Source organism: Homo sapiens, chromosome 6 (genome assembly GCF_000001405.40).
Source record: "Homo sapiens chromosome 6, GRCh38.p14 Primary Assembly".
Lineage (NCBI taxonomy): Eukaryota > Metazoa > Chordata > Mammalia > Primates > Hominidae > Homo > Homo sapiens.
In genome coordinates, this window is record NC_000006.12 from 57,908,311 (window position 1) to 57,923,331 (window position 15,021).

The 15,021-nt window shown below is 38.4% G+C and overlaps 2 pseudogenes across 5 annotated transcripts in view; both read right to left on the reverse strand.

The window, feature by feature from the left end:
* Positions 1 to 242: 242 nt before the first annotated feature.
* Positions 243 to 15,021, reverse strand: part of GUSBP4 (GUSB pseudogene 4) — a 28,377-nt pseudogene continuing 13,598 nt past the window's right edge. Inside the window, exon 5 of one of the 2 annotated variants that reach the window (NR_132999.1) lies at positions 243 to 4,732. The product of NR_132999.1 is annotated as a GUSB pseudogene 4, transcript variant 1 (transcript). Of the gene's footprint in view, positions 4,733 to 11,570; positions 11,610 to 15,021 lie in introns of those variants that run through there. The other variant, NR_133000.1, reaches the window with a different exon arrangement.
* LINC00680-GUSBP4 (LINC00680-GUSBP4 readthrough, transcribed pseudogene) overlaps positions 11,571 to 15,021 on the reverse strand; it is a 41,566-nt pseudogene continuing 38,115 nt past the window's right edge. For all 3 annotated transcript variants that reach the window (NR_132998.1, NR_003660.2, NR_132997.1), the window contains one exon: positions 11,571 to 11,609. The product of NR_132998.1 is annotated as an LINC00680-GUSBP4 readthrough, transcribed pseudogene, transcript variant 3 (transcript). The remainder of the gene's footprint in view (positions 11,610 to 15,021) is intronic.

Genomic DNA, 15,021 nt, shown 5'->3' on the forward strand with positions numbered 1-15,021 from the left:
GCCAGGTGAAGCAAACAAGCAAAACAATTGCATGTTTAAAAAATTAAACAAGTAGCCAACATTTGGAAAATTATATTATGGAAAAGAAAAACCTTTCCAAATTTGCAGGATAAAGTCTCTGAAAGTGTCGAAAGGGACTTAAAATGAGAAGCTACAAATATGTTCATTATCAAACAGTGGCCATGGGTAAAAAAGCAAGGAGTGCTCAAGAAGGGAAGAAAAACAAAATGGAAGAGACAGACTAACACCACATGGATAAAGAGACTTTATTATATTTTAAAATTATATACAGTAATTATTATTATATACATTCATTAATTCTATATAAGTAAACATACATTCTAATCACAGTGTTTGAATTCCATTTTTCTCAAAACGCACACACACACACACACACACACACACACACACGAAAAGCCTGTAACCTTTGAAAGCCTAAAATGTAGGAGTTCCTCCAGGTACTCACTTCATAGTTCAGATGGATCTTACCAGATTATTAGCAACAAGAATTCAGTGCCTATATCACAGTTAAAATTATAGTTAAAATATTTAATAGAGGGACACCCACCCTCAATGCGGGTGGGCACCATCCAATTGGTCAGGGGTATGGATAAAACAAAAATGCATAGGAAAGCTCACTCTCTCCTGGACCTAAGACACCCTCCTTCTGGTGCTTTTGGACATCCAAACTCCAGGCTCTCTGGCCTTGGGATTCCAGGAGTTGCAAAGTGGCTGTCTGAGTTCTCAGTCCATTGGCCTCTGACTGAGAGTTATACCATCAGTTTCCCTAGTTCTGAAGCTTCAGGACTTGGAGAAAGCTACTCTACTCTCTTCCCTGGTTCTCCAGCTTGCAGACAACCTATCCTGGAACTTCTCAGCCCCCATAATCGCATGATCCAATTCCTCTAATAAATGTAGAGATCTCTCTCTCTCTCTCTTTCTCTCTCTCTGTATGTGTATGTATATGCATGTGTATATATATATAAGTATACGTGTAGGTTCTGTCTGAGAGAACCCAGCCTAATACATCATGCAGCATATTATCAGAATAAAATTTGATAATGTATGTACAATGCTGAACACAGCATCTTGTATTTAAAAACATATTCAGCATCGAGTTACTGTAACTGCTGTCATTGATGCCTCTTCTTCTAAAATGAGATGCCATCACTTGTAAAATTATTTTTAAAAGATATATTTTTAAATGAAGAAGTCTTTTTATATGTCAAATAATTTACTTTAGATGTTTAAAATAGTATAGCTCACAAAAAATGTTGGCTCATAACAACTTCTACTGAGTATGTAAGAAAATGGTTTTGAAGTTCAATCTTTTTTTAAAAAAAAGATGTATGAATGTATTCAAAATTTACATGAACACTCAGCTATGTATACTATAAATATTTTCCAAACTCCATGAGCTGATTAATTAAAACAGATCCTCTAGCCAGGAAGACAAGCATATGAATACAACAGTCTTTCTTTTATCAATTCTCCTGAAATATCTAGTGTAGCACATAATAATTTTTATATATGAGTGAAGGTGGTTTCTATGTCCAATTAGCAATAACTGTGCCTCAGGTCATCTTCATTGACTATGATACTGCCACTCTGAAAAGCTGTCTACATCCAAATATTAATTTAATTTGGCAAAAAAACAGGCAGGCTTAGAAAGTGTTTTAGAACAGGACAATTAAATAATATAATATTTTCTATAATATTTCATTTTCTTATTTCTTCTCAAGATCCCACGACAATGGATATAGTTGCTTTTTTATCTCAAGAAGTATAAATTTTACAAACATAAAAGGTATGTCTCCCTTCAATATTTCCTCTTAATGCTGAGTGCAAAATTGGTTCAGAAAGAAAATTGCTGACATTAAGCTAGGATGTGACTTGGCAACTGATTGCAACATATTTCTATAGGATGCTGTGGGGTGTACTGAAAAAAGGATGTTTTAGACCCAGAAAGACTGTTGCTCTGTTCCCAGGGAAATGGAAAAAAAACAAAAAACAAAAATCTTAATCTTGAGCTCTAGTTCTTGACTTATATAGAACATGGAATAAAGAAAAAGTTTTCTCTTCATCTCTATACTTCAGTAAGTGGAGCAATATTATTGGCTTTGCATCATTTCATCAATTAAGGAAGATCTTATAATAGCATACTTCAACTCTTTTAAATATTAGACAATGGGTTTATTCACAAAGTATTTTTTATAAACATATGTTTTAGGCATAAAGTTTATTCATCCAAAATAAAGATTCCCATATTTCCATCTACTACGATTTTTCAATCATACTTAGTATTAACCAATAATAATTTATACTCCACTACTGATACTTGCTAATTGAATTACACTTCTGATGATCATTTTTTTTTTCAAATGACATAGTGAGAGTTATGATCGGTTATTTGGGTTGTAAGGATTGAAAACATACCTAGATCATATAAATTTGTGAAGGTTTTGCCATCACAAGTGTTATAGGGAATAATGAACATCAACTATCCTACAGCTAAACCTAATGAAGACCAAATTGCCTCCAAGGTCAAAACAATAGTTCTTTGTGCTCAAAAGTGGTTCATATAATTGATGCTGCATTGACGCTGTCTATAGAGATTCTAGTTTTCTCCACATTTTCTCTATTTTTCAATTTCCTTTCTTTTCACTGGGGTCTATTGTTCTTTAACAGAAGTAATGGCCTTTTATAAATATATAATTTTCACGTTGTAAGCATTCTTTCCAAGCTAGCTGCCCATCATCACGTTTTGGCTAGTCCCAGTCTCTGCTCATAGAACACTTGTCCACACTCTAAATTCTCTCTGTTCTCCATAGCCCCCACTCATCTAATTCCTATAGTCTTTTAACTCAAAGCCTTCAACTTATGTACAGCTTTCTCTGCCTCACGTTTCAAGCTTAATGCATCATCTTAATTCATCTTTCGACATCTATTTCTACTACATGCTGCTCTCTTTCTCTATCTTATATCTCCCAGAATATGTTTTATTTCAACACATCGCTAATCTGTGCCAGGCATTGTTATTAGCAAAATGATAAGCCCTGCATGTAGCAAAGTTCCTGCCTTCACTGCATATGCATTAATAGCTCTGATTAGTCCACTTAAAAACCATTGTTCCTGTCATGCAGAACTCCATTGCCAAGCCACACAACACCCAGCCAGTAGGTTAGCAGCTCCGTGGAGCAAGGTAAACATGTTGATTCAATTGACTTTGGGCAGAAGGGTAAGATTTTGTCTTCAGCTTTTCTCATGAGGAACATATACAACCCAAATGGAAAAACCCTGTATCCTCCTGCCCAAGCAAATAATTCGATAATAAATAATAGCTTCCACTAAAATATAATGAAGTGGTTACTTTGATAGGTAATAAAGTATGTGTTGTTTTCCTTTAGTTTTCTTTTAAAAATGTATGTTAACCTTGCTTCAGTTTGGTTTTCCAGAGTATCCTGCATAAATGGACACAAACCACATTCACTTTGCTATGTGGATGGGGGAGATGCAAAAGGTGTCTTCAGTGCATGCCCAGATATTCCCACATGTTCAACCTTCCACTTAGCTCCCAATAAAACATGTTTCTTTTTTCACAACTAGGAGAGCTCTCCTTTTCATACCTCTGCAGTGACATGAAGGCATACTAAATAGAGAAGTAAAAGGTTCATATGAAACTGTAATGTAAATATTATTCACATACTGAAATTCTGAAAACAGTATTAATATTTTTCCTGTGATGCTTTTAAATTTTAATATTCTGTAAAGTATATTTTAAGCATTCACAATTTGGATTTATTCGTGATAAGAGTATATTTTACCTATAATAGATTGGGAAATATATACATATGTGTGTGTGTGTGCATGCATGTGTGTGTGTGTGTGTGTATTAATATATTTTCCTTGAGACTAGTAGTGAAGGCAAAGTTCTGAAACTGAATTTGCCAAAATGGGATTAGATGTGTGAGGGATTTATTTGGATAAACACTTTTGCAAGGTGAGGTGGAGGAAGCAGGAATAGACACAGCCTTCAGCCACAATACTTGTAAACCTTATGAAGGAGGAAAGAAAATAAAAAAGGTTAGGTAAAATGAGTTTCAGATAGTAGCACAATACTTAACATATTTTGGCAGGCCAATGGAGAGTTATCAAGCCAAAGTTTTCCTCCATATTGAGCAGGAACAGCACCTCACTATGCTTTGTCATTGGCTGACAACAGCTGTGAGATGGGGATTTTGGACTATAGGTAGTGATGGATACAAAGATGAACCCCAGGAGCTGTCAGTCAACTGTGATAGTCACTAGGGGAGATATACATGAAGCAGTCTCATGACAGTTACAAGCCTTGACCTTTTATTTTATACTAAAGTAAAATATAACTTTATTATGAAGACCATCAGGCCACCTAGTTACTATATACCAGTTGCTATGGTTTGAATGTGTCCCTCAAAATTCATGTGTTGGAAAATTAATCCCCAATGCAACAGTGGGAGGAGGTGAAATCCTTTGGGAAATGATTATGTCATGATGGTGGAATCCTCATAAATGAATTAATGTCACTACAAAAAGGCTTGAAAGAGGGAGGTTGGTCCCTATTCCCACCTTCGGTTCCTTCCTTCATGAGAAGATACAGTATTTCTTCCCTCTGGCGGGTGCAGCAACAAAGTGCTCTCTTAGACGCAGACACTGAACTACAGGTGACTTCATCTTGGATTTCCAGCCTGCAGAACTGTGAAAAATCAATTTCTGCTCTTTATAAATGACCAGGTAGTAAATATTTTGTAATAGTAGCACAAACGAATTAACACAATTGTGAGGAAATTATTTCTGTAACATTTTACATAACAAAATTCAGCATTTTATAGGTTAGTCTGTGAAGTAGAGTTATTTATTTATTTACTTGAAAGTTCTACTAATCTGCATGCCCCTGATAATTAAAGATGTTGAGCATATTTTTTAATGTACCTGTTGGCCATCTGCATATCTTCTTTGAAGAAATGTCTGTTCAAATCCTTTGCCCATTTTTAAATCAGATTATGCATGTTTTGCTATTAAATTGTAGGAATTTCTTATATATTTTGAAAATTAATCCATTATCACATATATGGATTGCAAATATTTTCTCTCATTTTATAGATTGCCTTTTCATTCTGTTGATTGTATCCTTAGCTGTGTAGAAGTTTGCTTGGTTTTTGTTTTTCTTGTTTGTTTTTAGTTTGATATAGTCCAACTTGCCTATTTTTTGCTTCTGTTTCCTGTGCTTTTGATGTCATATTCAAAAAGTGATTGCAAATAGTAATATCAAAATGATATTACCTCACTCTTGTTAGGATGTTGATTTTCAAAAAACCAAAAGATAAATGGTGAGGATGTAGGGAATTTGGAACCTCTATACACTGTACATTGAGAATGTACAATGATACAGCAACTATGAAAACAGTATGGAGGTTCCTCCAAAAGCTAAAAATAATAGAATTACCAGGCGATCCAGCACTCTTATTTCTAGATACATATCCAAAACAATTAAAATCAGGATCTTGTAGAGATATCTGCACTCCCACATTTATAGCATCATTTTTCACAATAGCCAAGATATGGAAATGACCCATGTCTATGCCCATTGGCAGATGAATGGATAAAGAAATTGAGGTATATATATACAATAGAATATTTTTCAGTCTTAAGAAGAAAATCCTGCCATTGGTGACAATATTGATGAACCTAAGGGATCTTATGCTAAGTGAAATAAGCCAGTCACAAGAGGACAAATACTGCAGAATTCCACTTATATGAGGTATCTATAATAGTCAAACTCACAGAGGCAGAGAAGACCACAGTAGTTTCCAAAGGCTCTGTTGTGGGGTAATGGGAAGTTTTTCAAGGAATATGAACTTTGTTGTGCAAGATAAATACATTTTAGAGAGCGGCTGTTCAATATAGTGCCAATAGTTTATACTATAATATTGTGCATGTCAAAATTTGTTGAGGCTGGGTCTCAAATTCAGTCTTCTCACCACATACATACACACATAAGGGGTTTAAAATAAATTTCGGGGGGTCTTGGATATGTTTATGTGAATCATATCCAAGTGAGTGTGGTGACAGTATCGGGGGTGTTTGCAGATGTTTAAACTCATTAAAGTATACAAGTTAAATATGTGCAGTTCTCTGTATATAAATTACCCTTCAAATAGCTGTCAATAAAGTGCTCTTTAATATCACTGAAAGTGCATTAACTGAAAATTCAAACTTCAGAAAATATAATAATGGTATGCAGTCATTAGTTGGTATAATTTCCTACGGTGATAACATCTCTCTCCTTAAATTCAGTACATAAGAATTGATACCAACTGCAGTTAAACAGTGTCCACCTTATTTTGTTATATTTTACATATCAATGGGTTCAAAAACCCAGAATTAAAATTTAAAGAATCTTAGAATATTTTCTCACTTATTGACAGAATTAGATTCAATTTTTCTGATAGTTTATATTCAGCCATTGCTCCAACTATCCCAGAGATCGAGGGAGGTCTCAATAACTTATGAAGCATCATTATGTATTAGACATATGATGGTTAAAATGCCAGCTCTTAAATTTTTCCTTTATTTAAAATGGGTTCCAGGCACACACTGCTGTGACAGCCCTTCCTTTGTAAAGAATAGAATCTGCCAACCTTATTCTCAAATTTTAAACCTAGAGCTGTATCCAAAAGCTACCTATAAAGTCATTTATTATGGGTTTTGCTTGACTCATTCTGAATACCACAGGGTAGTTTTAGAGTTTAGGGTTTCCACCAAGATATTTTCATTAAGCATATACTAAAATAGAGTTTTCTTACTGAATTTTTTTCAGCAAGTTTATAAATCTCAAGTGCAGAGCTTTCTGTAAGTTATTAATCAAAAATTAACTTTGTGAATATATCTACAGTATAATATATATACATAAATATATTATATACTATAAATTCTGAATTCCTGAAATTAAATACTAGTTTTATTATTAAGTCAATTGTCTAATTTCCCCTGGTAGGGACATTTGTATATTTCTAAACCAAACATTCCATTTTGTTATGTGTATCAGTTAAGATGACCTATACTATACTGCAGTAATAAATAACTTTCACATCTAAAACCAATTCAGTCTCTATAATAAGTTTACAAGGAGACTTAGTCATTTAGGAAGACACCTGATAAAAACTCTGTCACAACTCATGCTAATACAGCTCATAAGGGACCATGGGAAGGCCTTGTAAAAATTCCTTCTATTCAAATGACATTGGTCAAAACAAGTAAAGTGGTTTCATTTACCTTCAAGCAGGATGAAATACTGCCATCTTATTATTTGTATAGTATGAGAAAAACTAAAGTATTTGTGAGCAGCCTAATAGTTACATGATTGATAACATTTGTATTCACAATAGTGCCAGCAATAGAACCCAGAAGTATATTATTTTTTCTTTCAAACTACCCATAAACGTACCCATTGATTAATCATTGTGGGTATATTTATTCAACCAAGGATATAGCACATAATACTTCCATCTGGTTTGATATTTTCTATGTGTGCATCAGAATTTCAAGAGATGTTGTCAAATGTTATAATAAAATTAATAAGCTCAAATCCCATGCATGACATTTAATCTATTCCAAAAGAATGCCATTATGAAACGTAGGAAATATAGTAATCCCTCTTATCCATAGAGGATACATTCCAAGACCCCCAGTGGTTGCCTGAAACTGTAGGTAGTTCAAATCCTATATATACTGTACTATGTATTTTTTTTCTATACATACATAGCTATGGTAAAGTTTAATTTATAAATTAGGCATAGTAAGAAACTAACAACAATAAAAATGATAAAATAGAACATTTATAATGTACTGTAATAAAAGTAGATGAATGTGGTCTCTTACTCTCTCTCAAAATATCTTGTTGTTATACACTCACCTATTTTTAGACCTCAGTTGAATGCTGGTTAACTGAAACCAGGGAAAACAGCCACGTACCCGGGGTGGGTGGGGTGGGGGGCAGGGGGAACTAAACATGCTTTCTTTATTCTGAAGTTCTCAAAATCCTAATAATTGAGTAACTTTATTCTTTCCCTGTGTAACTCCAGGCAATTTATTGAAACTCTATGCACCTAAGATTCAGGGATGCAATGAGAATGATAAAACTGCTCTATCAGCTGATTTATGTGAGAATTAAATCAGCCAATGCATGTAAATTCCTTAACTTGGTCCTACACAGAAAATTCTTTAATGTGTTAACCAATACTCTGTATGAAGTGAATGATATCATGTATATTATTTTGCAAACTCCTATTTTGCATATAGGTGCAGACATAGCTTCAGGTAAATACATGCAAACTAACTTATCTTTTAATATCTTAAAATTTTTCCATTACAAGGATACAAAAACTATTCTACCAATTACCTGTTGAAGAAACTCATGTTTAATTCCGGTTTATTTTGCCATCATAAACAATGCTGTGAAAGCATTCTTGTATATCGAGGATCACATATATGCCTTTACTTCTGTAGGATAGATTCTTTTTAAAAATATTTTAACTTTTATTTTAGGTTCAAGGGTGGACTTTTAATCTAGATGCTGAGACTAGCACATATGTATACTTTTGCACTATGAAAATATCAATAATTTTTTTCTCCAAGTGTAGTAACTTACAGTTGCACTAAAGTATATAAGATTTTCCAGGTTCATTGAAATTCCCTAAGAAATACTATATACTCTTATGATAAAAAATATATGTATAAAATTTATATTAGATTTCCGCATGTATGAATTTAATAAAGCAACTTTATAATTTTGCCAGAAGCCCAGCACAGTGCCTAGAATGTATAATTTCACAGTATATTTTAGTTAAAATATTATAATTATGCCAATTGAGGGATGTATAATATTAGTAATAAACACTGAAATTACAAACATACTACTTCTGATATTATCAGGCCTAACAAAAACAAACTTGGTTGAATGTTATAAAATCAGTTACACATAAAAACATTATTATTAGCTATTACCCACTACATATTTTTCAAAATTCTGTTGATTTAACTCATTTGCTAGATTAATATAATCATCTCATTCAAGACCATAAAATCAATTTCCCATTTGTTTTATTTTATCTATATCTATGACAAACACTTTAAACCAAAATTTGAAGTGAATGTATTATAAAATAATTAGTATAAAATAAAAGCTATTCAAAAGACATATACTTCTATTGTATGGATATGTAAAATGAGTAAGAATGAGTAAAATGAGTAAGAAAAACTTTTTGTGTTAGCCACTGGGATTTTTGGTTTGTGTATTACTTTAGCATATTATCTCATTTTGAATGCTATAGTTTAGGACACTAGTTTAAACTACTGAAGTTAAAATGTTCTCCTTATTTCAGAGGATAGAAGGATCTTACAGTGACAGACATCCATTAGTAAGAATTAATTTCTAGAGATAAAGTGAATTCAGTAACCAAAGTGTCAGTAGAGTCAGCATGGTCAAAATAGTCTACATGGGAAATGTTTGGTGGCTCTTAGTTGATCATGGAGTCTCTAGAACCAAAAGTTAGGAATGCCAGTTAAGTTTCGATTTGGCTTATATGATCTCAAATCTTCAGGTTTACAAAACATATCTTGAGCCACCACCCAGCTCTGTCACCCAGGCTGGAGTGCAGTGGCACCATCTCAGCTCACTGCAGCCTCCGCCTCCGAGGTTTAAGCGATTCTCATGCCTCAGCCTCCTGAGTAACTGGGACTACAGGTACTCACCACCATGCAGGGATTTTTTTTCTATTTTTTTGTAGAGACACGGTTTCACCATGTTGGCCAGGCTGCTCTCAAACTCCTGACCTCATGATCCGCCCACCTCGGCCTCCCAAAGTGCTGGGATTACAGGCGTGAGCAACTGCGTCCGGCCCATTTTTTCTTTTCACCCACCTCGGCCTCCCAAAGTGCTGGGATTACAGGCATGAGCCACTGCACTGAGGCTACAGCTCATTTCTTACCACATAAAGCTTTGCACCTCTCCACAAAACTGCCATCAGGGATGTCCCCAGAAACCATTCATCCCAGGTGCCACGCAGAGAAGAGTTTCTTGTTCTCCTTTTCCCTTTACCTCTTCCCTCTCACCTCATCATGTTCATTCATTCATCCCTTTTCCATTCTCACTTTTAAGCTTTAACCTTTCAAAAGCCTATCTTCCCCTATAAGTAATGTATTGTAACTCCCGCCATCACCATATCCTTCTCCAACCAACCAAACTGCCATCCTGAGTTTATGGAAAGTCCATAAACTAAGAAGAAATGGGAAACATTCATTGCTAACTTGGCAGCCCCTCATCCACCCTACGTGAGAGCCCAGATCTTATTGTCTTTGAAGACCCTTTCTTTTTTTTTTTTTGAGAAGCAGTCTCACTGTCGCCCAGGCTGGAGTGCAGTGGCACAATCTCGGCTCAATGCAAGCTCCAACTCCTGGGTTCACGCCATTCTCCTGCCTCAGCTTCCCGAGCAGCTGGGACTACAGGCACCCGCCACCACGCCCGGCTGATTTTTTTTGTATTTTCAGTAGAGACAGGGTTTCACTGTTAGCCAGGATGGTCTCGATCTCCTGACCTCATAATCTGCCTGCCTTGGCCTCCCAAAGTGCTGGGATTACAGGCATGAGCCACCGTGCCCAGCTCCTTTTTTTTTTTAAAGACAGGTCTCACTCTGTTGCCCAGGCTCAAGTGCAGTGGTGTAATCACAGCTTACTGCAGCCTCCAACTCCTGTGCTCATGCTATCCGCCTGCCTCAGCCTCCCAAGCAGCTAGGACTACAGGCACACACCACCACACCTAGCTAATCTGTTTAGTTTTTGTAGAGATGGGGTTCCTGCTATGCTGAACAGGCTGGTCTCGAACTCCTGGCCTCAAGCAATCCTCCCACCTTGGCCTTCCAAAGTGCTGGGATCACAGGCATGAGCCACCATGCCTGGTCTGAAGACTTTTAAATGCTGCCATATTCAAGACGCGTTGAAACTCACTTGTATTCGATGAGCCTGCTTTTCGCAAATGAGTAACATAAAACAGACTGAAATACCTTAAGCTTCTCAGCCTTTTACCCTCCTCTGGAATAATGAGTGTATCCCAAAAGTAAATCCAAAATGAGGTCCAGTTTTTCCTTCATCCTTGGCTATGAAATAGACAAGAAAAAGGCAAGCTAGCCATTTCCATCTCACTATAGCAGACTCTCATGTTTGCTTTTTGACCGTATGTGGGAAGCGGGGGCCTGACTGCTTTCCTACTTCCTAAGCACAACTTACTTTTCCTAGGAAATTCTCAACGCAACCTACATGGATTAAACCAGCTTCCCCCCTTTGTTTCCAATATTCTTACAGCCAAAATGTCCAGAATGGGCAAGGCAACCTGAAAAAATGAGGACGGGTACATTATCCCATGCGCTAAACTGCTGCTTACACTGGTTAGTCATGAAATCGGCAAAATTCCAGATGAGCTTTCCTACCACGTATTTTCTGCGTTTTTGATCCAGACCCAGATGGTACTGCTCTAGCAGACTTTTCTGGTACTCTTCACTGAACATCAGAGGTGGATCCTGGGATTCAAGGCAAAGAGAATTACGAGTAAGAACTGGCAGAATTGTAAATGTTAGATAAAAATAAAGATCCACTTGATGGTGACCAAAATATCTGTCCTCACTGGGGGATGTAGTGACTGCAGGACTCACTGATGCTAGGGTAAAGACAGCCAGGGAGAAATTGGAAATCATCATTCTCAGTAAACTATCGCAAGAATAAAAAACCAAATACCGCATATTCTCACTCATAGGTGGGAATTGAACAATGAGATCACATGGACACAGGAAGGGGAACATCACACTCTGGGGACTGTTGTGGGATGGGGGGAGGGGGGAGGGATAGCATTGGGACATATACCTAATGCTAGATGACGAGTTAGTGGGTGCAGCACACCAGCATGGCACATGTATACGTATGTAACTAACCTGCACAATGTGCACGTGTACCCTAAAACTTAAAGTATAATAATAAAAAAAAAATACAAAAAAAAAGACAGCCAGGGAATGATGTAACCCAGAATTAAAAAGGAAGTTTAAAAAAAAACATCAATTAGTAACTGCTTTATTTATAAATATAATCTGATACTCAATTTTTCTTACTTTTCCATCTCTATCTGCTGATACAGTCTTAAGGCTGAACTACACTAGAAGGAAAAATATGTCTTTAGGTCAGGCACGCTGGCTCCTGTCTGTCATCCAAGCACTTTGGGAGACCGAGGTGGGAGGACTGCTTGAGCCTAGGAGTTCAAGACTAGCCTACAAAAAGTACAAAAGTTAGCCAAGCATGGAGGCACACACCTGTGGTCCCAGCTACTTGGGAGGCTGAGGTGGGAGGACTGCTTCAGTCCCGGAGGTCAAAGCTGTGGTGAGCTGTGTTTGCACCACTACACTCCAGCCTGGGTGACAGAACAAGACCGTATCTCATGAATGAATGAATGAATGAATGAATGAGTGTAAAATGAAATTAAACTAAACCAGGCTGGGCATGGTAGCTCAGGTCTGTAATCCCAGCACTTTGGGAGGTCGAGGCAGGAGGATCACTTGAGCTCAGGAGTTCAAGATCAGCCTAGGCAACACAGTGAAACCCAGTCTCTATAAAAAGGCTAAATATTTGCTAGGTGTCGTGGTGCACGCCTGTGGCTCCAGGTACTTGGGGGGCCGAGGAGGAAGGATCACTTGAGCCCAGGAGGCTGAGCAGTGAGCTGTGATTATGCCACTGCACTCCAGCCTGGGCAACAGAGTGAGGCTGTCTCAAAAAAAATTTTTTTTTAATTAAACCAAATAAATTCAGTTAACCTAGTCATATATCAAGATCTCAATAGCCACATGTAGCTAGTGGCTACCATTTCAGACAGTGCAGACATGGGGCATTTCCATCATTGCAAAGGTTCTTTTTTGAAACAAGGTCTCACTCTGTCACCCAGGTGGGAGTACAGTGGTGCAATTATGGCGGACTGCAGCCTTGACCTACTGGGCTCAAACAATCCTCCTACCTCAGCCTCCCAAGTAGCTGGGACTAGAGGCAAGCACGACCATACCCAACTTTTTTTTTTTTTTTTTTTGAGACGGAGTCTTGCTCTGTCACCCAGGCTGGAGTGCAGTGGCACAATCTCGGCTCACTGCAACCTCCACCTCCCCAGTTCAAGCGATTCTCCTGCTTTAGCCTCCTGAGTAGCTGGGATTACAGGTGCATGCCACCACACCCAGCTAATTTCTGTGTTTTCTTAGTAGAGACGGGGGTTTCACCATGTTGGTCAGGCTGGACTTGAACTCTTGGCCTCGTGATCCACCCACCTCAGCCTCCCAAAGTGCTGGGATTACAGGCATCAGCCACTGCACCCAGCCACAACTCATCTTAAATATTTTGTAGAGATGGGGTCCATGTTGTGCAAACCGATCTCAAACTCCTGGGCTCAAGAGATCCTCTGACCTCGGTCTCCCAAAGGGCTAGCATTCCAGGTGTGAGCCACCACACCCAGCACTGCAGAGGTTCTATCAATGCTCACCTAGACCCTCTCGAGTTTCTTAAGAATTCAGAACTGGGGCTGGGCATGGTGGCTCATGCCTGTAATTCCAGCACTTTGGGAGGCCAAGGCAGGTGGATTGCTTGAGGTCAAAAGTTCAAGACCAGCCTGAACAACATGGTGAAACCTCATCTCTACTAAAAAAAAAAAAAAAAAAAAAAAAAAAAATTAGGTGAGCATGGTGGTGCATGCCTGTAATCCAAGCTACTTGGGAGGCTGATGCAGGAGAATTGCTTGAACCTGGGAGGCGGAGGTAGCAGTGAGTCAAGATTGCACCACTACACTCCAGCCTGGGCGACAAGTGAAACTCCTCAAAGGAGAAAGAATTCAGAGCTGGTTACGTTTTCAAAGAGAATGAACAAGGGTGCATATCCACAAACCATTTCCCCCTACTTGACTAGTTTGCAGAAGTGTCATTCTGTAAGCACGATAAATTTAAGGGTGCAAACAGAACAATGCAGTCCACTGTGGGTGGCTGTTCCCTGTGTGTCAGCGGGAGTCCCAGGAGCTGTGACAAAAGAGTGTGAGCTGGCTGGGGAGGGGACAAGGGGCTGGATGGGGTTCAGGAATCCACATGAAAAAAACCCCACAAGACAAAGCAACATATCTTTGGTGAGAAGGACAAAAAATGAGATGGATAAACAAATGAGGACAGGCCAGGCATGGTGGCTCAGGCCTGTAATCCCAGGATTTTGGGACGCCGAAGCAGGCAAATCACTTGACGTCAGGAGCTCGAGACCAGCCTGGCCAACATGGCAAAACCCCACCTCTACAAAAATACAAAAATTAGCTGGGCATGGTGGCGGGTGCCTGTAATCCCAGCTGCTTGGGAGGTTGAGGCAGGACAATCGCTTGAGCCTAGGATGTGGAGGTTGCAGTGAGCTGAGATCACACCATTGCACTTCAGCCTGGGTGACAGAGTGAGACTCCATCTCAAAAAAAAAAAAAAAAAAAAGACAAAGTGAGTGATTAAACATGGCTCTAAGATCTCACCCATGCCCTCAATAGGTATTATTTAGCATGTGCTGTGTCAGCTATTGCAGAGTACCTGGGAAACAACAATAAATAGGACTCCTGTCTCCTGAGCCCACAGTCCGATCAAAGAGAGAGCCAAAGAAATAACAACGGTGCCTGGCGAGAATGTTGGGAGAGCCAGGTTCCGGCTGCAACAGGGCAGAGCACGGGGAAGGTTCCCTCCGCCTGGGGCAGGCGGGGTAAACCTCCCCACAGAGGGGACAGCTATGAGGAGACTCAGACGCCAAATAGGAATCTTTTCGGCCACATGTCGTGACTCATGCCTGTATTCCCAGTACTTTGGGAGTCCAAGACAGGAGGTGAAGACCAGCCTCATAGCGAGACTGCATCTCTACAAAATATTTTAAAACTAGGCTGCACATGGTGGTGCA